Source organism: Homo sapiens, chromosome 3 (assembly GCF_000001405.40).
Source record: "Homo sapiens chromosome 3, GRCh38.p14 Primary Assembly".
NCBI lineage: Eukaryota > Metazoa > Chordata > Mammalia > Primates > Hominidae > Homo > Homo sapiens.
Window position 1 is genome coordinate 138,608,421 of NC_000003.12, and position 27,581 is coordinate 138,636,001.

The 27,581-nt window shown below is 40.4% G+C and overlaps 1 protein-coding gene across 6 annotated transcripts, besides 2 other annotated features; it reads left to right on the plus strand.

Moving 5' to 3' along the window:
* On the plus strand, positions 351-24,956 carry FAIM (Fas apoptotic inhibitory molecule). Of its 6 annotated transcripts, XM_011512950.4 has the most exons (7): positions 351-517; positions 2,184-2,617; positions 11,291-11,350; positions 12,987-13,119; positions 13,768-13,996; positions 20,687-20,736; positions 24,510-24,956. In XM_011512950.4, exons 2-7 carry the CDS (start codon positions 2,538-2,540, stop codon positions 24,657-24,659), a joined length of 702 nt encoding a protein of 233 aa, XP_011511252.1. In that variant the 5' UTR covers positions 351-517; positions 2,184-2,537; the 3' UTR covers positions 24,660-24,956. The 6 variants fall into 6 exon arrangements, with proteins under 6 accessions (XP_011511252.1, NP_001028202.1, NP_001028203.1 ...); NM_001033030.2 differs by lacking the exon at positions 11,291-11,350; NM_001033031.2 differs by lacking the exon at positions 2,184-2,617.
* Positions 439-898: a silencer, noted in NCBI's record as "silent region_14765". NCBI's record gives its function as "represses an Ori minimal core promoter by ATAC-STARR-seq in GM12878 lymphoblastoid cells {active_cell/tissue: GM12878}" and the evidence as "EXISTENCE:reporter gene assay evidence [ECO:0000049][PMID:35858748]".
* Positions 999-1,088: an enhancer, noted in NCBI's record as "active region_20604". NCBI's record gives its function as "activates an Ori minimal core promoter by ATAC-STARR-seq in GM12878 lymphoblastoid cells {active_cell/tissue: GM12878}" and the evidence as "EXISTENCE:reporter gene assay evidence [ECO:0000049][PMID:35858748]".

The window sequence follows — 27,581 nt, forward strand, 5'->3', positions numbered from 1 at the left end:
AAAAGGAATGAGACTCATAAAGAGGTTTTAAGGAGCGAATGCTATTGCTGCCATGAACAGATATTCCTTCCCCATAGCTGCAGAGCAGGCACAGGGCTGTTTTTGCCCGCCAGTATGTCCCCACCGTCTAGCCCAGAGCGGGGCCAGCGGCCGGCTCCTACCCACACTTGCTGGCAGGAAGACTGGACGCACTGCGGGACATGGTGATGTCCTGGGTTGGGGCTGAGGAAGGCCTATGCGCGGAGGGTGCGGCCTTCGGCTAAGGCAGAGGACCAGGGTTGGGTCCGTGGCGGCGGGAGGGGTGGCCTCCTGCGCTGGTCGCCCCAGGGGACCTGAGAGGCGCGACAAACAGTCGGCGCGTTTGGTACTCGCGCCTGCAGAGCTTTCAACCTCCGCGCCGGCTGCGCCTGTTTCTCGGCCAGGGGAGCAAGGCCACGCGGCCTACGCAGCCGAGTCGGAACCAACCGGTTGTTTGGTGAAACCTACCCCAGAGCCTCCCGCGGCCCACAGAGCACAGGTGAGGCAGCAGACCGGGTGGGGTCGGTGTCGCGCCTGCGCCCGCCCGGACGCCTCGGGCCCGCCCGCTCCGCACCCTGGAAACCCCTGCACTCAGCCCCCCGGCGTCCCCACGCTCTCGGCCCTGCTGCGCCGGCGGCGGCCATCTCTGGGCGGCGGCGGCGGGCGGTGTTTGCGCGGTCGGTGAGACCCGCGCGGGTGAGACGCTGGGTGAGTTCCGGACGCTTCCAGCCGGCCCGCCGGTGATCCCAGACCTCGGGGCGGGACGCGGCTCCCGCTCACCGCCGGCAAAGGTGGAGGTGCGGCGGGGCGCGGGGCGCGGGGCCAGCCCGGGGCGGTGCGGGGGCGTCCCTGCCTAGCGAGGCCCTGCCCCGCGACCTGCCGCACCCTCCTCCGGCCTGTTCGCGACCTCTAAAGATAATACTTCTCACTGTCGAAAACGTGGAACAGAAAGCAAGGAAGCAAGCAAAGCAGCCGTGCCGCTGCTCCCCAGAGACAAGCTGCGTTAACATGAGGGTGTATATTCTTCCAGATGGTTTTTCCTTGTAACATGAGCGGGGCTTGTTTTTGCAGAACCTGCATCATAAAGTGCTGAAACTCTCTCTCTCTCTCTCTCTCTCTCTCTCTCTCTCTCTCTCTCGACTCTCTCTCTCTCGACTCTCTCTCTCTCTCTCTCGACTCTCTCTCTCTCTCTCTCTCTCTCTCGACTGTACATTCCTGTGTGTCAGGTTGACTACCTCATCCATCCCTGACTCTTGGCATGGCTTTGGACTGTGATTTACTAAATGTAGTTTCTCCCTGATGGTGAGCGTACAAGTGGTTTTCAGTTTTTAGTTATTGCAAAAAGTAATTCATTGAGCATCGTTGTATCTGGGTTTTTGAGCGTGATCATTTCTGTAGAAAGAATCGCACAAGATTCGTTCTAAAACAAGATAGAATCCACGGTCTATACCACAAGGCTTCTGGTATAGATTGTGAAATGGCCCTCAGAAAAGTTATTCTCCTTTTTGTACCTCCAGTAAGTAGCATTTGGGAATACTTGGCTCGAGGAGCTTCCTGAGTGATTTTACTGGAGACCCCCCTCACTTCATAAGGGGCCGGCCCGGAGATGAAGATGTCAACACTTGAGTGTGACTTGCATTATTGGCTGGCCCTACCTGGGGGCCTTTGCTGAAAAGGGAACCATGAGCATCTTAGTAACTACTATCATCTAGTAATTTTTAAACTGACTTCGGTTTATCTTGAACGAACCATTTCAGTCCCCAGTAAGAATAAACCTAAGTTAAGGCAAAATTCAGGTGGATTAGATGAACAGTGGCAACGTGTTGGTGTTTAAGTCATGCTCTGAAACTTAGGTGTTGGGTTGCTAGGGAAGGGATTTTAAAAGATTGATGGGTACGTATGAGATACGCAAAAAGCTTTCTTTAAAGACATGTAAAAAGTTTCAAGTGCTTGGTATCATCTCCATCAGTGAAAGTAAGTGGAATATGGTTTTTCATCTTTTTAAATTTACATTTTAATAAAATATTTGCAAAAATAGAGGGTTTTTTGTATTTATCATTTTCCAGTTTGGTCATAGAATCTTGAAAATTAAGTACATGCATAAGAGTTTAAAAACAACAGTGGATTAATTTCTTGCTCCCAAGTTTCATTTTTTTATTTTTCAGACAGAATCTCCCTCTGTCACCCAGGCTGGAGTGCAGTGGCATGATCTCGGCTCACTGCAACCTCCACCTCCCGGGTTCAAGCGATTCTTGTGCCTCAGCCTCCGGAGTAGCTGGGATTTACAGACGTGCGCTACCATGCCCGGCAAATTTTTCTATTTTTGCAAAGACAGGATTTCACCGTTTTGTCCAGGCTGGTCTTGAACTATTGACCTCAAGTGATCCGACCGCCTTGACCTCCCAAAGTGCTGGGATTACGGGGTGTGAGCCATCGCGCCTGGCCACTTTCTCCAAAGTTTTAAACCAAAGCCTTCTTCGGCAGAGCTACGACCCTTCCTCTATGGCCCATTCTATCCTATGCTGCTTCCCTTTATAAGGACACTCCCACTGTTGTGCTATAATCATCTCTTGGTATCTCCGGACTCTGCCACTCTGAGGTTAGTGCCCTGCCCAGAGCCTGGTACATAAGTACCCAATAACTATTGGTATGCTGGATGAACTTAGAATATGACATGTGTTTATTAAATTGAATTTGTAACTTAGAGATCTATGTGACAGATATTTCTGAGTGAAGTGGAAATTGGGGACAAGGACAGATGTTATCATCTTTTGGTTACAGGTGCAGTTGCATCCCAAGAAACACTACAGCCAGGACACCTGCATTTTTTTTTCTTTTTTTGTTTTTTTTTTTAACAACGTTACTGAAATATAACTCACATACCATAAAATTCACCCATTTAAAGTATACAATTCTTTCTAATATAATTAACTTTTTGAAGTGGTAAAATATATACAACATAGATTTGCCATTTTAACAATTTTTTAGTGTACAATTCAGGGGCATTAAGTACATTCACAATAGTGTGCGATCATTGTCACTATCTATTTGCCAAACTTTTCAATACCTTAAACAGAAACACAGTAACCATTAAGCAATAACTCTGTGCTATGGTTTGGATATTTGTACTTACCAAATCTCATGTTGAAATTTGATCCCCAGTGTGGCAGTATTGGGAAGTGGGGCCTAATGGGAGGTGTTTGGGTCATGGGGGCTGATCCCCAGTGAATACATTAATGCCCTCCCTTGGAGGTGAATGGGTTTTTGCTCTATCAGTTCTCACTAGAGCTGTTTGATAAAAAGAGCTTGTACCTCCCCGCTGTCTCTCCTGCTTTCTCTCTGGTCACATGCTCTCTACACAGCCAGCTCTCCTTTGCCTTCTGCCATGAGTAGAAGCAACTTGAGGCCCTCACCAAATGCAGATGCCCAATCTTGAGCTTCTCCAGACATCAGAATCATGAGCTAAATAAACCTTTTTTCTTTATAAATTATGCAACCTCGGGTATTCCTTTGTAGCAGCATGAAAGAGACTGAGACTTCTCATTGTTCCCTTCCCCCATTCCCAGGGAACATCTAATCTGCTTTCTGCCTCTACGAATGTCCCTTTTCTGGGTATTTTATATAAGTGGAATCATATTTGTCATTTTTTGTCTGGCTATTTTTTTTTTTTTTTTTTTTTTGAGACGGAGTCTCGCTCTGTCACCCAGGCTGGAGTGCAGTGGTGCGATCTCAGCTCACTGCAAGCTCCGCCTCCCGGGTTCACGCCATTCTCCTGCCTCGGCCTCTTGAGTAGCTGGGACTACAGGCGCCCGCCACCACGCCTGGCTAATTTTTTTGTAGTTTTAGTAGAGACGGGGTTTCACCGTGTTAGCCAGGATGGTCTCGAACTCCTGACCTCGTGATCCGCCCGCCTCGGCCTCCCAAAGTGCTGGGATTACAGGCGTGAGTCACCGCGCCCGGCCTTGTCTGGCTATTTCACTTAGCATAAAGTTTTCATAGTTCATCCATGTTATAGCATATGTCAGAATATCACTCCTTATTTTGGCTGAATGAAAAGGAATATCCTTTGTATATATATGCATTTTATCACTTCTCAGCCTTTTGGCCGAGATCAAGTGTATGTACCGCGTTTTGTTTATTCTTATGTTGATGGACAACTTGGGTTGTTTTCATCTTTTGGCTATTGGAAAATGCTACAATGAACAATAGTATACAGGTGTCTGAGTGGCTGATTTCAAAACTTTTTGAGTGCATTCCTAGCAGCAGAATTGCTAGGTCATATAGTAATTCTCTGTTTAGGTTTTGAGGAACTGTCATATCATTTTGTATGACAACTTCACCATTTTACAGTCCCACTAGCAATGTACAAGGATTCCAGTTTTTCCACATCCTTGCCAACACTGATTATTTTCTGTTTATTTTTAGTATAGCCATCCTAGTAGATGTGAAGTTGTATTTCATTGTTGTTTTGATTTGCATTTCTGTCGTGATTAATGTTGTTTAGCATCTTTTCATGTGCTTATTGACCATTTGTATGTCTTCTTTAGAATAATGTCTGTGGAAGTCCTTTGCCTTTTTTTTTTTTTTTTCCTGGAAACAGGCTTTTGCTCTTGTTGCCCAGGCTGGAGTGCAATGGCATGATCTTGGTTTACTGCAGCCTCCGCCTCCTGGGTTCAAGCGATTCTCCTGCCTCAGCCTCCCGAGTAGCTAGCTGGGATTACAGGTGCCTGCCACCACACTCGGCTAATTTTTTGTATTTTTAGTAGAAATGGGGTTTCACCATGTTGGCCAGGCTGGTCTCGGACTCCTGACCTCAGGTGATCCACCCGCCTCAGCCTCCCAAATTGCTGGGATTACAGGTGTGAGCCACTGCGCCCGGCCCCTTTCCCATTTTTAAATTGGGTTGTCTTTTGTGTTTATGAGCAGTAGAGTTCTTTATATATTCAGAATATGAAACCTCTATCAGATATATGATTTCCAAATATTTTCTCTCATCCTTGTCCTTTCACTTTCTAGATAATGTCCTTTGATGCACAAAAATTTTAGTTTGTTTTTGTTTTTTTGAGACAGGGTCTATTCTGTTGCCAAGGGTGGAGTGCAGTGGTGCAATCACAGCTCACCTGCAGCCTTGACCTCTCAGGCTTAAGTGATCCTCCCACTTCAGCCTCCCATGTAGCTGGGACTACAGGCATGCACCACCATGCCTGGCTAGTTTTTAAATTTTTTTGTAGAGATGGGGTCTCCCTATGTTGCCCAGGCTGGTCTTGAACTCCTGGGCTCAAGCAATCCTCCCACCTTGGCCTCCCAAATTGCTGGGAATGCGGGTGTGAGCCACCACACCCAGTCAGTTTTAACTTTTGATGAAGTTCAATTTATCTATTTTTTTCTTTTGCTGCTATCCTTTTGGTGTCCTATCTAAGAATCCATTGCCAAATCCAAGATCATGAGGATTTACCTCTATGTTTTCTTCTAAGAGTTTTGTGGTTTTAGCTCTTACATTTAGATCATTGAGATAACTTTTGTATATGGTGTGAGATAGGTGAGGTTCAACTTAATTCTCTTGTGTATGAAAATCTAGTTTTCCCCATAACATCTGTTGAAGAGACTATTCTTTCCCCACCAGTTAGAGTTGGCACCCTTGTCAAAAATCATTTGGCCACAGATATGTGGATTTATTTCTGAACTCTCAAATTCTTTAAGGACAGAAACATTTTCTTCAGGCTGGGCATGGTGGCTTATGCCTGTAATCCCAGCACTTTGGGTGGCCGAGGTGGGAGGATCACTTGAGTTCAGGAGTTTGAGACCAGCTGGGGCAACATGGTGAAACCTCATCTTCACAAAAAATTACAAAATTAGCTGGGTGTTGTGGCACATGCCTATGGTCCCAGCTACTAAGGAGGCTGAGGTGGGAGGATTGTTTGAGCCCAGGAGGTCGAGGCTGCAGTGAATTGAGATCGCACCACTGCACTCCAGCCTGGATGACTAGAGTGAGACCCTATCTCAAAAAACAAAAAAAAAGAAGGATTTTCTTCAAATTTCTGACAGCGTCTAGTACAGTATCTCTTGATAGCAGGTTCAAATGTTGAATGGAAAAACTGAAGCCTGGACATTTATCATAAGAAAACTTTTGTTGTGAAGGTACATCTCCCCTTGAGAAAACAAATAGAGCATAGCTGCTGCAAATCATACAAAACCATAGAAAAATTTAAAAGACATGTACGACCAGGTGCGGTGACTCATGCCTGTAATCTCAGCACCTTGGGAGGCCAAGTCAGGTGGATTACTTGAGCCCACAAATTCAAGACCAGCCTAGGTAACATGGTGAAACCTCATATCTACCATAAATACAAAAATGAGCCGGGTGTGGTGGTGTGTACCTGTAGTCCCAGCTACTTTGGAGGCTAAGGTGGGAGGATCCTTTGGGCCCAGGAGGTTGAGGCTGCAGTGAGCATTGAATATACCATTGCACTCCAGCCTGGGCAGCAGAACAAGACCCTGTCTCAAAACAAAAACAAAAACATGTACAGATGCTTCTTGACTTGTGATGGGGTTATATCCCAATAAACCCATTGCAAGTTGAAAATATTATAAGTTGAAAATGGATTTAGTACACCTAACCTATCAAACATCATGTCTTAGCCTTGCCTACCTTAAGTGTCCTCAGAATACTTACCTTAGCCCACATTTGGGCAAAATCATCTAACACAAAGCCTATGTTACAATGAAGTCTTGGCTGTCTCCTGTAATTTTTTGTACTGTAGTGAAAGTGAATGGTTGTATGGGTACTCAAAGTATGGTTCCTACCAAACACGTATCTCTTTTGCACCATCTTAAAGTCGGAAAATCATTAAGTCAAACCATTATAAGCCGGGGACCATCTGTATTTGACTTTGGAGTGCTTTCAGAACATTTGGTGGGCATTTAACTATTTGTTGAGTTAATGGATTACATTTGCTCATTCTGATATTACTTTGTATAGACCATCCAGAGAATCACCAGTTACGAAGAAGTAAGTTGACTTTTGTGTGAGGATATTCTCAAAATGAAAAATCAGCTGATGGGCCAAAGTATCTTAAAGTCTGTTTTAAGTAAACATTGATCTCTGTGCTTTAGTGCCTTTTAGAATAATTATTCATGTTTACTTCCTTTCAGACCTCTAACCTAAATCTCTATTTTATTTCATGTTTCCCTAAAGACTCACTAGTGGGCATATTTTTACGTGCATTTGATGAGTTGACTAGTGGTTTTTAATGATTTTCCCTGATATGAATGGCCAAAAAACAGATGTCAGTCTGTTAACCTGTTGCATTTGTGGCTATTAAGAGTGTTTTCTATGTGTGCTCTCCTGCTTTTGAGCCAGAAGAGCAATTTCAATTAAATTTTAAAGTGGTGAAATTGGAATGGAATGTGTAAACTGACAGAGGTCATAAGACTAGTGAAACTGCTGGGATAGGTGATAGAGAAGCCCAAAAGCAGGAGGCAGAGTTGATTTTGGACATTTTTCTTAAACATTAGATGGGATTTGTTGATGGGAATTATTGTTTGTGGTAAGATCATTTGAAAAGTTTTCTTTGCTCTGTGTGCATTATTGGCACCCTCTACAGCTTTGTTAGAAAGTTGGATAGGTAATAAGAACCCAGGACTGGCAGTGGAGATGGCACTTGGAGGGATATGTGTTACTGATTTCCCCGTAATGAAGGAGAGAGGCTAGACCAGGTGATTTTATTGTTTTTTGTTTTCCAGTGCTGAAAATTGTATGACTCTCTCATATTTTGGTTAAGGCTGTTGTTATAAGATACTGGTCACTTTAATCCTTGCATAGAAAGCAGTTTTTAAAGTTAATCTCTGCCTTTTAAAATGGTACAAAATTTGAAGTATTTCAGCCTTTTATAAGCTGAATATACTTTTAATGTTCCAAAGAATAATTTCGTTTGTTTTGTTGTTGTTGTTTTTTGCTTTTGGAACAGGGTCTTGCTCTGTTGGCCAGGTTAGAGTGCAGTGGCATGGTCATGGCTCACTGCAGTCTCAAACCCCTAGAATCGAGCGATCCTCCCTCCTCCCATGTAGCTGGGACTATAGGCACGTGCCACCACACCCAGCTAATTTTTTTTGGTGTTACTCTGTTGACCAGGCTGGTCTCGAGTTCCTGGCTTCAAATGATTCTCCTGTCTCAGCCTCTCAAAGTGCGGGGATTACAGGGATGAGCCACCATGCACACTCCAAGGAGTAATTATAACAGTATTTTATAATTATTAACCATTTATAAAAAGATTTTTTTAGTGTTTTGCTTAAAATAATGGATAGCATGAACAAGAAAATTGAAATATTACTTTGTATTAAAACAACATTTTATTTAATCAGAGAAAAACTGGCAAAGAGAGTAACAAATTTTATATTGATTTGTTACTTGGTTTAAGAAGAAACATCAATTTTGATATATAGTTATATAAGTAGAATTAGAATGCTTCAAATTTGCCAGATAATTGCTTCAGTACTTACTCTTATCTTTGTTTATAATCCTCTCCTGTCATGTACACTTTTAATTATTGGAGAATTAAAAATTGCTATTTTTTAAGTAGTCCTTAAATAATTGTTGAATGCCTGAATGATTGTTCATAGTTTAGAGAAGAAAAAATGTTTTAATGTGATCATGATTTCTAATCTTTCTTATAATTGGTGGTATTGCCTTTTATACTTCTCCATGAAAAGGTATTATAATTAAGATGTTGTATCTTAGTGTGATTTAGTAGTATTTGGAATTCCTTATAATAGAAAACAGAGCAATTGTTTTAGGTTTGAATACCTACATTACTGAACTTTCTAGAGTCTCTGAAAATTGAAGAGCAAAACTTGAATAGCACCCCTAAATACATTCTGATTTACAAAGGATGCCTTATCAAAGTTTATATTATGCTGTTTGGCTTATTTTTTATATTATATGTATGTATAATATGTATATATTATATATAATATGTATATATAATAAATATAATATGTATATAAATATATATATAGTATTTATATGTACTCCAGACTGGGCAACAGAGTGAGACCCTGTCTCAAAACAGATATGTATATCTATATATATCTCTCTCTATCTACCTATCTACCTATCTGTCTATCTATATCTGTCACCCAGGCTGGAGTACATGTAATTATACTATCTTATACTATCTGTCTATCTATAATAGATCTATATATCATATCTATATATATAATATATATATATATGTTTTGAGACAGGGTCTCACTCTGTCACCCAGGCTGGAGTACATATAATTACATTGTGTATATACGTGTGTGTGTATATATATATGTATGTATATAGTATCTACTATATATAATATATAATATATATTATTATTTTGGACATAGATACTATTTATATATAGTATATATCTATATATTATCTATCTATATTATCTAATTAGATATCTAATTAGATCATATAGATATAGATACTATATATACTATATTATATATAGTATATTTAGTATATATAGTGTATATAGTAACTATATATTATATATAGTATATATATAGATACCTGTTTTGAGACAGGGTCTCACTCTGTCATCCAGGCTGGAGTGCGGTGGCATGATCACTGCAGCCACTCACTGCAGCTTCTAACTCCTAGGCTCAAGCGATCCTCCCACCTTAGCCTCCCCCAGTAGCTGGGACTACAGGTGCATGCCACCATGCCTGGCTGGCTTATTATATTGCTATGTATTCTTTTTGTTTTTATTGTTGTAGGATACCCTCTGGTTTCATAGGGGATAATCCTTAAGAGTAGAAAAGTTCACAAATTTGTGTGGTGCTAATTTTATAAAAGAGAGATTTATTTTAGGTACAAATATTTATCTAGTTTTTATTCTAAAATCCTTGGCTTTTCTGGCCCGTTGGATTGCTTTTATGAGTGCTAATTTCTTCTTTAATATCTTTTTGGCTGGGTATGTGGTGGCTCATGCCTGTAATCCCAGCACTTTGGGAGGCCGAGGCAGGTGGATCACTTGAGACCAGGAGTTCGAGACCAGCCTGACCAACATGGCAAAACCCCATCTCTACTAAAAATACAAAAAATTAGCCGGATGTGGTGGCATGCAGTTGTAGTCCCAGCTACTCAAGAGGCTGAGACATGAGAATTGCCTGAACCCAGGAGGCAGAAGTTGCAGTGAGCCAAGATCATGCCACTGCACTCCAGCTTGGGGGACAGAGTGAGGCTTTGTCTCAAAAACAAACAAAAAACTTTTTAATAATTTGTGACTTCTGGCTGTTTCCAGACAGAAAGGGTTAGCAGTCTCCCATTTTTAACCAGGAGAGAGCATTCTTGAGCATCTGTAGGAAACAGGCACTAATTAAGGAAAGGGCTAAACTAGGATAGATCTTGGAAGCAAAAAATAGTTGAATTTAGGATACTTTGGCAGGAGTGAAACTGTTAATCCCAAATCTTCAAATGTGAGGGTTTCCTATGCATGTGAATTTATGTGCACTTCTGATTTTAGTACAGCTTAATTAACACTGCAGCCCAGTTACTGTTTAGTTCATTGCATAGTACAGTACTGGGCTCTAGTTCTGGGTTGGATCCTGCCAGTTACATGAGCAAGGCACATAACTTTTGTGGATTCATCATTGGCACTAGTAAATTAAATGGGCTTAAGTAAGGGGATAAATTAAGTTCACTCTTTGAGAGCAGACCAGCATATCCCTGTCTGCTTCTTGCAAACTCATTAGTTCTTTGAAGTTATCTAAACAGATTTTGAAAGTTATGTTCCACCATAGTGTAGCCTTCTAAAATAAAGATTACATTTTAAATTAGTTGCCACTTTAACATTGATGCTCCCAGAAGATACATTGTGTTTATCCTGGAGTTTGATGTATTCCCTGACTCATAGCCTTGGGGCTTCTTACGCTTCAACTTGAAAAGCATAGGACCCAGAGGATCTCTTAGGTCTCTTGCAGCTCTGATATGCTATAACACTTGCAACAAAGGAGAGTTTGTTCTTTAGTTTTGATAAAGTATACCTTTAAGAAATTATAAATCCATAACAGGGAAAAATATGACTGACTGATTTGCATGATGTAACATCTTTCTCTGAGAATTAAAGATTGCAATTCTATTTTATGTAGAAGCTGTTTCATCTGAAACTCCATGTAATTTAATAAATGGATTGCAAAATTAGAAAAACCCTTTGTAGATGTCATCATTGTTGCTTTCAATCTTTCTTTGCTGCAATTCTGCTTTTTTCTTTCCTGGCTGCTAATTGGATTAAAGACTGTTTTTGCCAACCATGGCATCTGGAGATGACAGTCCTATCTTTGAAGATGATGAAAGGTAAATGTCTTATATTGCAGTAAACTAGCCTTTGACATTTTCAAGATTGTTATCATTCAAAAGAGTGATTTATCCAAGATACTCTGTTAAGAATACATTTTGTAAAATTGCAGAATACATGGTTCTGCTTTTGTGTGATTTAAAGCAGGAGTAGTAAATACCTGGCGTGGAGGTAGCCACTAGAAACATGGCATCCATTTCAGTAGAGCCTTGATGTGAGGTCTTCTCATTTCTGTCAGCACAGAGTTCTTGGCAACCACTTCAAAATGATATAAAATCCATTTACCATCTTCAGTTTAGAGCGTACAGAGGAGATTAGGGCGAACAAAGAGGAAGATGTAGTTAAGAGAACAGGCTTTGGAGCCAGAATCCTAGGTTTAAATCCTACCTCTGCCACTTAATGTCATTGTGACCTTAGGTAAACCCTTAGCCTCTCTAAGCCTCATCTGTAAAATAAGGATACTAATAGTAGCCATCTCATGGTGATTCTATGAGTTAATATATTTAAAGCTCTTAGAACAATGACTGATACATAGTTATCACTTAATAGCTGTTAGCTATGATTATTATTACTGTAATAAATGATACTTCTGTCAAAGCTAAAAAGATACACCAATATCAAAATATTAATTAGATATTATGTATTATGTCATTCACATAGGATATATTAACATCAAAAATATATGTTGAAGTATATGCCAGAAATCTCTGACAAACCAAAATCCTTTATTTATTTCTTATTTTTGAGACAGTCTCACTCTTTCACCCGGGCTGGAACGTGGTGGTGCAATCATGGCTCACTGCAGCCTCAACCTCCTGGGCTAAGATGGCTCTCTTACCTCAGCATCCCAAGTAGCTGGGACTCCAGGCATGCGCCATCACGTGTGACTAATATGTTTGTAGAGACAGGGTTTCACCATGTTGTCCAGGCTGGTCTGGAACTCCTGGGCTCAAGTAATCTGCCCACCTCAGTCTCCCAAAGTGCTAGGATTACAGGCATGAGCCCCTGCACCCAGCCCAAAGTCCTTTATTTTTTTAAAATAAGATTTCCTGTAATAATGCCAAGAATATTTTTCATAACATTTAAAAATTATTTTTATCTTTATTATAGGGCATTTCTTCCATGACTTTTTTCTGTCTTAGTATAATAAATTAGAACCTTTTTGTTAAAACAAATCCCTAGTGCGAGTTTAAGTATGGGAGGTTTGGAGAGTTCTTGTTTTAGAGTGATTAGACCTGAAAAAGAGAAATAAAATTAATTACCATGGTTTTTACATGGGAGCTGGTGGGAGAAGAATAAAGACTTTTTACTGACCTTTCCATGCACTATACTGTAGCCTAACCTAGAATACTGACCAGGATAAACTGATGCATTCTTAATCCTATTAATATTAAGGTGGCTTTTTTTTAGAAGTAATCGGACTATGTACCCATATATAGTAGTTGTATCTTAAAGGAAGAGTGAATAAGAGGGAGAAAATAGTTACATGTACTGTGAGTAGAATTTCTTAGGTACTGTCACTTTAATATTTTGACATTTTAGAGGTTTTAATCTAATATTTTCATCTTGGAAGGATTAATTGGTTATTTAATTAGTATTTTGGCCTACTATAATTGCTTTATTTTATTCCTTTAGCCCTCCTTACAGCCTAGAAAAAATGACAGATCTCGTAGCTGTTTGGGATGTTGCTTTAAGTGACGGAGTCCACAAGATCGAATTTGAACATGGGACTACATCAGGCAAACGAGTAGTATATGTAGATGGAAAGGTAGGAAGAAAATATGTTACTTTGTAAAATATGATATATAGAGAAACTTGATTTTGTTAAAGTAGCATCTTCATATGTGAATTCAGGGCTTTTTTTTCTTGTAGTCATGTTTTTGATCTGTATCATTTTGCTGTGTAAAGCAAACATAGTTATAGAATTCATGGAATATAGCGTGTAATATTTAAACTTAAAATGCTTTTATTTTCTAAAACCTTGGCATCATAAATTAATAAAATTACATCTTTTTTTTTTCTTTTTTTTGAGACGGAGTCTCGCTGTGTCACCCAGGCTGGAGTGCAGTGGCGCAGTCTCAGCTCACCACAACCTCCACCTTCTGTGTTTAAGCTATTCTCCTGCCTCAGCCTCTCAAGTAGCTGGGATTACAGGCACCTGCCATTACGCCCTGCTGATTTTTTGTATTTTTAGTAGAGACGGGGTTTCACTGTTGGCCAGGCTGGTCTCAAACTCCTGACCTCATGATCCGCCCGCCTCAGCCTCCCAAAGCGCTGGGATTACAGGCATGAGCCACCACTCCCGGCAATGAAATTATATCTAAATGGCATTGCCTTTGTTCACTTTACGTTATTTCTAAAATTAGATATCAATTTTTCTTCCATTTGTTTCATATTTTTCTGTTTTATTATGTAGGAAGAGATAAGAAAAGAGTGGATGTTCAAATTAGTGGGCAAAGAAACATTCTATGTTGGAGCTGCAAAGACAAAAGCGACCATAAATATAGACGCTATCAGTGGTTTTGCTTATGAATATACTCTGGAAATTAATGGGAAAAGTCTCAAGAAGTATATGGAGGACAGATCAAAAACCACCAATACTTGGGTATTACACATGGATGGTGAGAACTTTAGAATTGTTTTGGGTAAGTTAGTGCTGTTTCCGCAGAACTTTTTTTTTTTTTTTATAATGTCTGTTTAATTCCTGTAACTGTATTCAGACCTTCTATGGAGGTTTGAAAAGAAGAGGGAGTGTAAGTGCAGGTGTATTTCATTTGTTTAGAAACATTAAAAAAATTTTTTGTTTCCTATCTGCTTGGGATTGTCTAGCAGGTGTGTATATTGTCCAGCAGGTGTATTTCTAATGTGTCCTGAGTAAATGAAGCATTCATTTAATCCACCATTTTATATATAAGATATCTTAAGCCAGGTTTTATAGTGATGGATTTGAGGATTATAAATTTAGGTTTTAAAAAAATGTAATATTGCCAGGCGCAGTGACTCATGCTTGTAATCCCAGCACTTTGGTAGGCTGAGGCGGGTGGATCACCTGAGGTCAGGAGTTTGAGACCAGCCTGGCCAACATGGTGAAACCCCGTCCCTACTAAAAATACAAAAATTAGCAGGACATAGTGGCACATGCCTGTAATCCCAGCTACTCGGGAGGCTGAGGCAGGGGAAATCACTTGAATCCAGGAGGCGGAGATTGCAATGAGCCGAGATCGCACCACTGCATTCCAGTCTCAAAAAAAGCAAGACTCCATCTCAAAAAAAAAAAAAAAAGTAATATTGATGTAGATTTTGGTATTATTTGGTATTTCTCTTTATAAATATATCTTAAAGGCAGTTGGAAATTTAGGATTTATCAGTAAGAAAGCAATATTTTCCTAGATAACAATAGGCTTAGGACTGCATCAGATCAAAATTATCAAAGTCTAGGACTTTTTGAAGAGTTTTTTTTGTTTGTTTTTCTAGGCTTTTCTGTTTGGGTTTCTCTTTTCTTATGGGAAGCAGATATATATCTTTTCTTTGCCCATATTCCTATGTCTTTTAGCAGTTTTACTCGTGTTCTCTATTGCTTGGAATTCTTTTCATTCTTTTATGTTTTTGAGACAGAGTCTCACTTTGTCGCCCAGGCTGGAATGCAGTGGTGTGCATGAACATGGCTCACTGCAGCCTTGTCCTCCTGGGCTCAAGTGATCCTCCAGCCTCAGCCTCCCGAGTAGCTGGGACCACAGGTCCATGTCACCATGCCAGGCTAACTTTAAAAAAATTTTTTGTAGAGACAGGGTCTTGCCATGTTGGCCAGGCTAATCTAGAGCTCCTGGGCTCAAGTGATCCTCCTGCCTCAGCCTCCAAAAGTGCTGGGATTACAGGTGTGAGCAGCTGTGCCCACCCTTCTTTTCATTCTTAACAACAATATTCTTGGAAGTCTGTTGCCCTCCTGTTCTAAGTATCCAAGTCTGCTGCTTTGTGGCCACCCTAGGCTTTCTTTCATGGAACCCTTTTGTTCTTCCAGTTATTGAACCCCACAACTCCTGCTTTCATCTTTGTTTACTGGAATATATTCCTTAGGTAATCTCCTGATAAAGGGTGTCTAAGAAATAAACATTACTTTGATCCTCATGCTAAGTTGATAGTTTTGTTCAGTACAGAGTTTTAATTTCAAACTCACTTTCTCTCAGAATTTTTGAAACCCTTATTCCAGTAGCTTCTATTCTCCATTGTTTTAAATGAAAAGTTTTGTGCCAATCTGAATCTCATTTTTTTCTTTCCAGAAGGTTTTGGGAGCTCATCTTATCCCTTATATTTCCAAATTTCATAGTGATATGTTTAGGAATATAGTTACTCAACCTGCAATAAAGTTTTAGAACCACTGGATCTCATTAATAATGGAAATTTTAGTTTTTAAAAGGATTATGATTAGTGTCAACACACTTAAACATATGGGACTTTAACAGATGATGAAACCAGGCCTTTAAATTAATTTTAGGTACTTAATCAGCTGCTTTGCCAACTTGTAATACAATTGATATTAACTTTTCCTAGGTGAAATGGAAGAGACTGCCTGAGCTATGCCTAGCATACAGTTAGTTCTCTTTTAAATGTCCAGGGGCCTGCTTATCTACTTGTGAATTATCTCGGGTCTTTAAAAAATATATTTTTCTGCTTTTACTCCTTGTCTGCCTTTACTCTTCTTTATCCATTTGCAATCCCTCATGAGCCTGGAAATGAGACAGAGTTCAGCCCCAACTTGTCCCTTTTGCTGTTTGGAAGGGATAAGGGACCAGAGTTGTTTACTGAGGTAAAGGCAAAATTGCATATGTTATTGATATTGCTTGCACTTCTGCTTCCAAGATCCATCAAACTTTGGACTATGCTGACTACAGCCTACATTTTACAGATTAGTTATGAAGAATGCAGGCTCCAGGATCAGAGCTGTGTGATGGGCAAATTACTTAACCTCTGAACCTTGGTTTCCTCATCTGTAAAATGGGGATAATGTAACTCCCTCACAGAGTTGTGATATGAGTGAAGTTTAATTGATTTAGTACATGTAAAGTACTTAACAGTGTTTCTCACATTGTGAATTCTTTAAAAATATTATTTGTCAGCCAGGTGCAGTGGCTCACACCTGTAATCCCAGCACTTTGGGAGGCTGAAGTGGGAGGATCGCTTGAGCCCAGGAGTTCAAGACCAGCCTGGGCAACATAGGGAGACCTCATCTCTTCAAAATATTTAAAAATTAGCTAAGTGTAGTGGCACATGCCTGTAGTCCCAACTACTTGGGAGGCTGAGGCGAGAGGATCACTTGAGCCTAGGGGTTCAAGGTTGCAGTGAGCTAAATTGCACCACTGCATTCCAGCATGGATGACAGAGTGAGACCCTGCCTCAAAATTTTAATAATTTGGCTGGGCATGGTAGCTCACACCTGTAATCCCAGCACTGTGGGAGGCCAAGGCAGGTGGATCACTTGAGGTCAGGAGTTCGAGACCAGCCTGACCAACATGGTGAAACCCCATCTCTACTAAAAATACAAAAATTAGCTGGGCGTGGTGGTGGGCACCTGTAATCCCAGCTACTCGGGAGGCTGAGGCAGGAGAATTGCTTGAGCCTGGGAGGCGGAGGTTGCAGTGAGCTGAGATTGCGCCACTGCACTCCAGCCTGGGTGACCAAGCAAGACTCTGTCTCAAAAAAAAAAAAAATTGATAATAATTTAAAAATATTATTTGTGGTGATTATTACTACTCATGGGCAAAGAATGGGCTTATCTAGAGTCTCCTGGTAAAATTCACTCTTGTATGTTATGTGGCAAGTTTCAAATAACAATATTATATGACTTGCTAAATTTTATATTGAGAAATTAGAGCAAGGCCACAAAAAAGCTTTGAATAACAAAACATTATGATTTACTAAGGTCATATTATGTGCCAGATACTATACTAGGCACTTTATATAATTATTTCTAACCCTTATAACAGCCTATGGGAAAGGTGGTATCATCTTCATTTGCCCCTGAGGAAATGGAAGCTCAGAGTGGTGGTGACTTGCCAAAGGGTACTGCTAGTAAAGAGTGATGCTGAGAGCTGACCTCAAAGATCATGTGCATTTTTTTTCACCACCTAAAAAATGTGAGGCATATAAGGGCAATGAAAACAGGGTTGGTTAGCATTCTCAGCTCTTGTAGTCTCCACACCACTGAATACCATGGGAGGAAAATAAAGCTGGCAGGAGGAAAGTACATATGAAACTTCACGCTGGAAGGAAATTCTCTTTCTGTTCTGAAAAGTTTCTCTTTGATAGCATTTACAGAACATAACCTGCTCAGGACTCACCTGGGAAGTCCCTAGCTATTGTTCATGCGGCTGAGGGAATCCGCAGGCAAAGAGGAGATGCTCCAAGATGAACATGCAGCAGCAACTCCCATGAGTCACTAAATCCAGCACTGAGTCATAATAGATTTGAAATTTTATCAGCTAGATATGTCCTTTTATTAACATACCACTTTGAATAGGTTACATACTCAAGATTCAGAAATCAAAATGCTATTAAAAGACACATTAAAAAGTCTTGCTTCCATCCCTGTTCCCATCTGCCATGTTCCCCCATCAAGATAACCATTTTTAGTGTCACTCTAGTGTTTCTTTATTCAGATTCAAGCGAGTACACATATTCTCTCTTACCACATAAAAGCATCTTGCTTTATTCACTTATTATATTCCGAAGATCCTTTTATATCAGAACCTAAAGAACTTTTTCATATTTTTTATAGCTGCAGAGTAAATTTCAATAGTAAATGGTGTATTTAGCTCATTCCCAACTGATGAACACTTGAGCTGTTTCTAATCTTTTGCTGTTAGAAGCAATGCTGCATGAATAGCTTTGTTTGCATGCCTCTTGGAACAGGACACATATTATATTAGTACACATTTCTGGAAGTAGGAAAGTAGGACTTCTATTCTTCTGGGTCAAAGACTAATTGTATTTGTCATCTTAATAGATTTTGCCCATTTGCCTTCCATGGTACTTTTACCATTTTGTACCCCCGTTAGCTATTTTCCCCAGGTTCTCCAGCAGAACATGTAGCCAAACTTTTGGATTTTTTGGCATTCTGCTAGGTGAAGCAATGGTATTTCAGGGTTGTTTTTGTCTTTTTCATAAGTGAGGTTGAGCATCTTAGTTTTAAGTTTCTTTTGTATTTCCTTTCTCATGATGCCTGTTCATGCCCTTTGCCCCATTTTCTTTTGGTTGTTGGTCTTTTTCTCCTTGATTTCTCATAGTCTTCACATTAGTAAGTTTAGTCCTTTGTTCATGCTGTGAGTTTGACATATTTTTTTCAGAGTTTGTCATTTATTACATGACTTTGCTAATGTGTGTGCATTTTTCTTCAATTGTGCTGTGGCTTTTTTACTTTTTTTTTTTTTTCCCAAGACAGGATCTCACTCTGTCGCCCAGGCTGGAGTGCAGTGGTGCAATTTTGGCTCACTGCAACCTCTGCCTCCTGGGTTCAAGCAATTCTCCTGCCTCAGCCTCCTGAGTAGCTGGGATTACAGGCGCCCGCCACTACGTCCAGCTAATTTTTTGTATTTTTAGTAGAGACGGGGTTTCACCATGTTGGCCAGACTGGTCTTGAACTCCTGACCTTGTGATTTGCCTGCCTCAGCTTCCCAAAGTGCTGGGATTACAGGCATGAGCCACCGTGCCTGGCCTTTTTTTGTACTTTTATGTAGTCAAATTTAATACATTTTCTTTTAGGGCTTCTGGATTAGTAGTGTTCTTCAGAGGCATGCTAATACGCTATTGTAGAAACTCTGAGTACACGTACATGTTCAGTAAGCATAGCAAGTAAAATACCAGTTTCTACCATCATCGTGGTTTATCATAGCACTGTGTGCACTGATCATGTCTTGGGACAAGTTGAGTTTACCTGCACCTGTGACTATAGCAGCTTTCTATGAAGGCTGCCACTGAGGTGACCCCTGCCCATATCTCCTGGACCCCTCTGGCTTTCTCTTTTTCCATCTAGCGCACCTCAAAGGCTTTTCTCCCATCTCTAAGTGAGGCTCCCATCTCAAGGTATGGGGAGAGAAAGAACCCCCTTTAGACTGTGCTCCTGGAGCAGATGGCCAGGCAGTAAGACCCTGGACTGGTGCCTCAAACCTGACCCCCAGACTCCTTGTGCACATACAGGCCATACTTCCTTCTCTTCTTCACTGTAATACCCAAAGCTCAACTTCTGGCTTCTTGATTAGTGTAGTCTTCTCTCCTGCTACTCCTGAGGACACTAACATTTGCAAGGGGCTCTGGGGACTCCTCCACCCTGAGATGAGCTATGGCAAGTTAACTGATCCATTTAAGTGTGTCGGGGCAGCATTTTGTTCCATATTGTTCCTTAGTGTGCAGTCCACCAGCTATACCTATTTTTTACTTGTAATCCAATAATTTTTCTCTAAACTGAAACCATTATGAAAAGGAATAGACATTATTGTACTACCTAGTAAGAAGCTGGACTAGATTTCTAAAGCGGACATGCTGTCTATCCTATATAAATCCCGTGGCAGCTGCTTTCAGTGGTCTTTTGTGCCATCACCCAGTTGGGTGAGTGTGGGAGGCAGGGGAGTCATCTGGTCAATATTGAAGGGCATTTTGTATGGAAGGGTCCCTCCTCACATTCATCTGTATGCATCCTTCTTTTTTATTTATTTATTTATTTATTTATTTATTTATTTTTGAGATGGAGTCTTTCTCTGTTGCCCAGGCTAGAGTGCAGTGGTGCGGTCTCGGCTCACTGCAAGCTCCACCTCCCAGGTTCACGCCATTCTCCTGCCTCAGCCTCCCAAGTAGCTGGGACTACAGGCACCCACCACCATGCCCGGCTAATTATTGTATTTTTAGTAGAGATGGGGTTTCACCGTATTAGCCAGGATGGTCTCGATCTCCTGACCTTGTGATCCGCCTGCCTCAGTCTCCCAAAGTGCTGGGATTACAGGCGTGAGCCACCGCGCCCGGCCTGTATGCATCCTTCTTTAAAGATTGTCCTTTTGGATTCATTTTGTTTCATAAGGCTTCATCAATTTGTATTAAGACCATAACTTTCTCTTAAAAGGTTGTTTTGTTTCATTATAGTTTTATGAACAAAGAACAAACACAGCTTCTTCAAATTTTAGGAGAGTCTGCAAGCCATGAAAGCCATGAAAAAGTGTTGGGTTTTGGAATATTAATGGAGTTTTAGAGATCTGGTATATCAATCCTTTCCTAAAGTAATAAATAGGAAAAGTTAACTTTATCTTTAAATCACAGAATTATAACTTAAAGTTTTTATGTTACCTTTACAGAAAAAGATGCTATGGACGTATGGTGCAATGGTAAAAAATTGGAGACAGCGGTAAGTTGACTATTTGATGACTCTAAGTGCCATGTGTCTCAGTTACCATTGAATTGTTGCTGCATTTCCTAATTATAGAGATCTTATAATGAATCAAGGCCCTCTTGATAAAAACAAAAAAGGGATTAAGTACTCCTGACTTCAGATTCTGAAAACCTTTGCCAGATGGTGCCTGGTACCGTGAGTTTGGAAACAACTCATGTTCTTAGCTGGCACTAGCTTCATACTCTCCCTTTCCTGTCCTGGACCAGGCTCCAGCATAGCAAGTAAAATACCTAAAAAGAGCCCCTAGTTAAAAAATTATATCCCCAGAGGTTGGTGTCCTCTTGTGTTGATCCATTTGAAGTGGTGCGTTATCACTGCTTCTCAAACTTGCATGCACAGAAATTGCCTGGAATCTTGTTAAAATGCTAATTCTAACATTTCCCTAGGTGCTGCTAATGCTACTGGTCCACAGATCACACTTTAGGAATGCTTTACACCATACACTCAAAGCAGATGGTTCTTTTCTGAAAGCGAGATTTTTGTAAAATGAGTGATACAATATCAGATGACACGAAGGTAGACGAACAGGAAAGGGCACTCTCACGAACCCCGGAGGACAAGTGGAATTTTAGACCAGCAGTGCCAATGCGAGGAGAAAGAGGCTCCCCCAGTCACTGTGGCCAGGCACACTGAAATCCCCATCTAGATAGACTCCAGTGTGTTTGACTTTTGCTATCAGGTGCTTGGATTACTATGGCTGTGGATGGGATGAATGTAGGAGTGAATTTCAAGCAGGAGTGAAACAGTAGTAGTGTGCACAGGGGAGAGAGTGGGAAACAGAAAGTGTGGGACTAGGAGCCGAAATCACTGGGTGGTAATCCCCATGTCTTATGGGGTCTGTGGGCCAAGCAGGGAGTGCTATCCCTGGGACCCACCTTTCATGCTGGCTCCAGATGTGAACATCAGGGCTAGAGATAATCGGAAGCTCTCTTCTCTGGTCACATTTTGCATGTTGTAGTTGCTTTTATCTCATTTGTATAGTATAGGTTTAAGACAGTGAGAAAAGGTGATTTTGGTAGTTGGAGGAAAGGAGGTCTGGGATTAATTCATTCAGAAGACCACCTAGAACCTACTTGGTCTGATAGCTGTTTCTGAGGAGGTGACAAAACCAGAAATCAAAAATTACAAAGATGAAGCCACACGTGGTAGCACAGGTCTGTAGTGGCTTCCTACTTGGGAGGCTGACGTGAGAGGGACCCTTGAGCCTAGGAGTTTTAGGCCAGCCTGAGCAACATAGTGAGACCCATCTCTAAAAAAATTAATCAATCAATTGAAATTTAAAAGTTACGAAGATGAATGCTTTTCTGTTTCTGAGTCCTGAAGAATTTAATTTGGGCTCACTCTAAATTGAGTGCTTGAGCTGTTCTCTGGGTTAAATCTACTGATAGAGACTTCTTTTATGCAGAGAGGCTTGGAGAGTGCTTCAGTATTTTATGGCCCCCTTTGGAAAAACTCCAGTTACCACTAACATGGATCAGATACCTACTGTGTGCCCAATGCCATACCTGGTGGTTCTTCCTGTTCTTTTTTTCCTACCCTGGAATTCTCTAGATAGGGAATCAGCACTTTTGAATTGCATTTCCTCCCATATTCAAGAAATTCTCCAGTGCACATGTAAAGAGAATGCTGTTTTATGGTATTAAGAATATGGTTGTACTGGGCGAGGTGACTCATGCATGTAATCCCAGCACTTTGGGAGGCTGAGGCGGGCAGATTGCTTGAACCTAGGAGTTAGAGACTAGTCTGGGTGACATGGCGAAACCCCTCTCTACTAAAAATACAAAAATTAATAGAGCATGGTGGCACATGCCTATAGTCCCAGCTACTCAGGAGGCTGAGGTGGAAGAATTACCTGAGCCCAGGGAGATTGAGGCTGCAGTGAGCCAAGGTTGCACCACGGCACTCCAGCCTCGGTAACAGAATGTGAGACCCTGTCTCAAAAAAAAAAAAAAAAATGCAGTTGTAACTTTGGGAGGCCAAGATGGGAGGATCATTTGAGGCCAGGAGCTCATGACCATCCTGGGCAACATGATGAGGCCCTATCTCTATAAATTTTTTTTTTTAAGTTAGCTGTGTATGGTGGTGTGTACCTGGTCCCCGCTGCTCAGGAGGCTGAGGCAGGAGGACTGCTTGAGCCCAGGAGTTCAAGGCTGCAATGAACTACAGTTGTACCCCTGTACTCCAGCCTGGGTGGCAAGAGCAAGACCCTGTCACACACATACACAAGGAATGTTGTTGTGGTTGTAAAAAGGTGAAAATAATATTCATCCACATGTCTTTGTTTTGTAGTAATTAACAGGAAACTACATGTGTTTGGAAATAGCTCTTTATAACACAGTTGCCTTCTCATTGTAACTACAACCTAGTTTGCAGGGCAGTTTGGGCAGCCCCATATCTAGGCAGCCTTCCCCAGTACTGTACGTACCCACAACAAACTCATCTTGTTGCCTGTGAGTTACAGCTTATTTTCTCCTTTTTATCTCAAAGCATCGTGCCAAAATTATATATTTGTCCAATTGCCAAGAAGCTACGTATATAGATTGTATTACCTAACCCTTGCCCTTTCTTCCGAAGTCTTTTTTCAAGGCTCAATATTAAAAATGGGGACAAGAACACACTGCACCCAAGGACATGCTTGTGGTATTCAGCATACCTCCCATAAGGAGCCACGGGCCACATCCTTCCCAGAGCTAGGAAAAGGCTTCTCTCCCTGAGGCATCCTGTGCCTTCTTTGGCTTGGTTTGTTAACTGGGGGGCCTTGTTCTATCTACTTTGGCTGCCAGGAAGCTAATAGCCAGGGGGTTTAAGTCTGATTTTTGGTTTCTTTGCTTTCTGGCATAAATCTTTTTTTTATCCTCTAAGCCTCTTCTTTCTTCCTTCCTTCTCTGCGCTACCTGGCGCTAATCTTTTTACTCTAGATCACTGCTACTCAATCAAAGCATAATATGAGGCACAGATAGGACCTTCATGTGTAATTTTAATTTATCTAGTATCCATATTTGAAAAAATTTTAGGTGAAGTTAAATATTATATTTGATTTAAATCAATATACCAAAAATAGTATTTAACATGTAATCAGTATAAAAAGTTATTTTATACATTTTTTTGTTTCATACTAGGTCTTCTAAATCCAGTGTCTATTTTATATTTAAACAGCATATCTATTTTCAGACTAGTCAATTTGAAGTGCCCAATAGCCACATGTGGCCAGTGGCTACTGTATTGAACAGAACAGGTATAGATTTAGTGGTGTTTGGTTTTGTTATATGTATATTTTACTGTAAGCCACCTTATACCCAGAGGAATCAGATTTTCAGAGTGGCTAAGAACACTCCATCCCTGGCTGGATGCAGTGGCTCACACCTGTAATCCCAGCACTGTGGGAGGCTAAGGTGGGTAGATCACTTGAGGTATATTATAAATAACTAATAAATGTCATATTTATCATTTTTATTTTTGAAAACATAGACACATAGTCATGAGGTTTATATTCCTCCCCCAAGAATTTAAGATTCTTAAGGATTGTAGGGGTTATGAAAAGGAAACTTTCAATTCATAACAGAAATGTAAAAGCATCTAAGTACAAGCTTTAGACTTTGTTTTTCAAAGCTTATTGTTTAACTAATACATTATTTTATTGCACTACTAGTACTTTTAGATGGTGTGAATGCTCTAGACAGAGATAAAAGTTTCTGCACCACTAATTCCTTCTTCTTTTGTTGCTCCAGGGTGAGTTTGTAGATGATGGGACTGAAACTCACTTCAGTATCGGGAACCATGACTGTTACATAAAGGCTGTCAGTAGTGGGAAGCGGAAAGAAGGGATTATTCATACTCTCATTGTGGATAATAGAGAAATCCCAGAGATTGCAAGTTAATGAATTTTCATCTTAAGAAGTAAAGATCAGGACTTTTTAATTACTGTGGTAATTAAATGTGTTCAGTATGTACTTATCAGTACATTTAGTCTGCAATGTTTTAATTTTTTAAAAAGTTACATGAAACTAACATTCCAAGGGTCAGGAAAAAAACCAATTATGTATAGTCATAAAAATTACAATTTATGATGCAAATAATGTAAAATGTTTTAAAGACAAATGGCAAATAAGATATGGACCAAAGTCACTAATGTTTTACAACAGTAACCTTTACTATAATAAATACTTTTAAAAAAATCTGCTTGATTTGTGTTTATATGTATGGGTAAGTATGTGTTTTTAACCTGTGCAGATAGGTTTTCTCTCTAGTTTAAAGCAGTTGGTACATAATGATACAATTAGTTTAACTGAAGAAAATGAGAAACTTTTTTTTATTTGGAAACATTAAGGAAACTTCAGATAGTGTCACAAGAATTTAATTTAAAATGTGGGTTTCTGAAAATGTAGTTGTTTTGTTTAATTAACATGGTGAAGACATAAACCAAAAGGAAAAGAAGCAAAAACTCCTTTACACCAGATTGTATCAAGTGCTTCCTCAGGCAGTATTTAAAAAGTCTGAGTTGCGTATCTGTGCCTGGATGTGGTGCCAGTGTTTGTTTGTTAGTGCTTCTGTGACTGAATCGGCCTGTGCAGGCATACTCACAAAGACCAGCCAAGTCAGTACATTAAGTGCCTGAGGGTTGGTCACTTCAATACTCTGAAAGTCTTTCAAGGCAGGATATAGTTTAATAGTAGACCACATTGGGGCATTTCACATCTGTTATCACTGCTGATCTTCTGTGTGAAGGGGCATTCTCCATTTTTTTGACTTGCTCTGTCCAATATGGTTGCCATTAGTCACATGGCTATTTAAGTTAATTAAAATTAAGTACAATCAAAAATTCAGTTTCTTAGTCACGCTAGCTACACTTCAAGTGCTCAACAGTCACATGTGGCTAGTGGCTATCATACCAGACAGTATATAGAACATTTCCGTCACCACACCAAGTTCTGTTGGACAGCACTGGTCTAGATAGATAGATAGATAGATTGTCTCAGGCTGAGTGAGTTGCTCAGTAGTGGCATAGGATTTTAAATCCAGGTTTTTCTGATACTAAGACTTAGGCCCTTTACTACGATCTCCCTGTCATTAACATATTTTGAAGAGATTTTGGGCAGAACAGAGGCAGAACCAGGTTCTAACAGCAGGAAAGAGAAATTGAGGGGCAGGAGAGCAGTGAGGGAAGACATTTTGGAGAGGCCAGGACCCGGCAGGCAACATGCAGGGTTGCAGGGCGGCAGCGTGGGTGTATTGAAAAGCCTTGACTCCTTCTTTCTTCTAACACCTTTTATTTTGAAGTCTTTACCACTGGCAGCTCAGCGTACTACCTTTACAAAAACGTTTACAAGGCTGGGCTGGTGGCTCATGCCTCTAATCCCAACATTTTGGAAGGCTGAGACAGTAGGATTGCTTTAGCCCAAGAGTTCAAGACCAGCCTGAGCAACATAGTGAGACCCTGTCTCTACAAAATAAAACAAAAATTTAAGTTTATAAAAGATTTTTACCAAAAAACCTCCCTGGTCTTCCCATTCCACCCCCTAGTTTTGCTTCAATGCCAATGGAAGACCAGGAAACAGTCTAACAGGGACTCTGAGGCTTGTTAAACTCACATTTGGGTTTGCTTTCATGGATTTGGGAGTTGTGGTTTGTTTTCATTTTTCTTGAGTAAAAGTCTTCTTTTAATGGCCATATTTTATCTGCTAGAAAAATATTTTGTGTCATGTCCAAAAGCAAAGCAATTATTTTTAGGCATTGGGCTTTGAACTGTAGTTATTAGAGGTCAAAATCCGTGATTTGCAGGGGTTGTCGTGTACCTAAGCAAACACTTGCGAGTACAGTTTGATTCCGTCTTTATGGAGACCAACCCCAGGAATATAGTCTTGCCTTTGACATGGTAAATCCACGTTTGTTTCGTTTTGTTAATTCAAAGTAGCACAATAATGTGGAAAGAGTATAGCCTAGATCTGAAGTTTGGCACAGCAAGTTAAGTTCTTGAGCCTCAGTTTCCTCACCTTAAAACTTGAGGCTATTACTTGTCTTAGTTATTTAATTAGATATTTCAGATGTACAAAAAAATAGAAAATATAACACAGCTGTATTATTAAACTAGGTGTACCTATTACCCAGTTTAATAACTAAAGCATTACCAATGCAACTGAATACCCATATACCCTCCCTGTTCCCTTCCCCTCCCTTGTGCAACTAATCACTAATGTGTATTTGATGTTTATCATTCCCATGTGCAAGTTTGTATTATTTTACTTTTGATATATATTTTTTGATATATATCAAAAAAGTACAGTATTATTTTAAAATTTAAATGTTATCACATTCTGTGTATCCTTCCTACATCATGGTTTTCCCTCACTCAACAATGTTTTTTGATCTAGGTTGGTATGTGTATCTCCAGTTCCTTTAACTTTTGCATTCAACCATACAAATTTAGCTGCGCATACCCCTAGTTTTCAGATGATCATCAACACATCAGTGGCTCTAATGAACATCTTTGTGTATGTCCCTTGAGTTTATGTTCAAGAGTTTCTCTTGGGTCTTGGTATTTTAAGTGTGCCCCTGTACCAACAGCAATGACATCACCTGGGAGCTTGTTAGAAATTAAGAATCACGGGTTCTTCCCCAGGCCTATTGAAGGAGAATCTGTGTTTTAACAAGACCCCCGTGGTGATTTGTACATCAAAGATTTAGAAGCACTGTTCCAGGTCTATTGAGGAGCAGAATTGCTAAATCAAAGGGTAGGTGCATCTTCAGTACTATTAGATATTTGCCAGACTGCCCTCCAGGGCAGTTGTGCTGTTGTATACTTT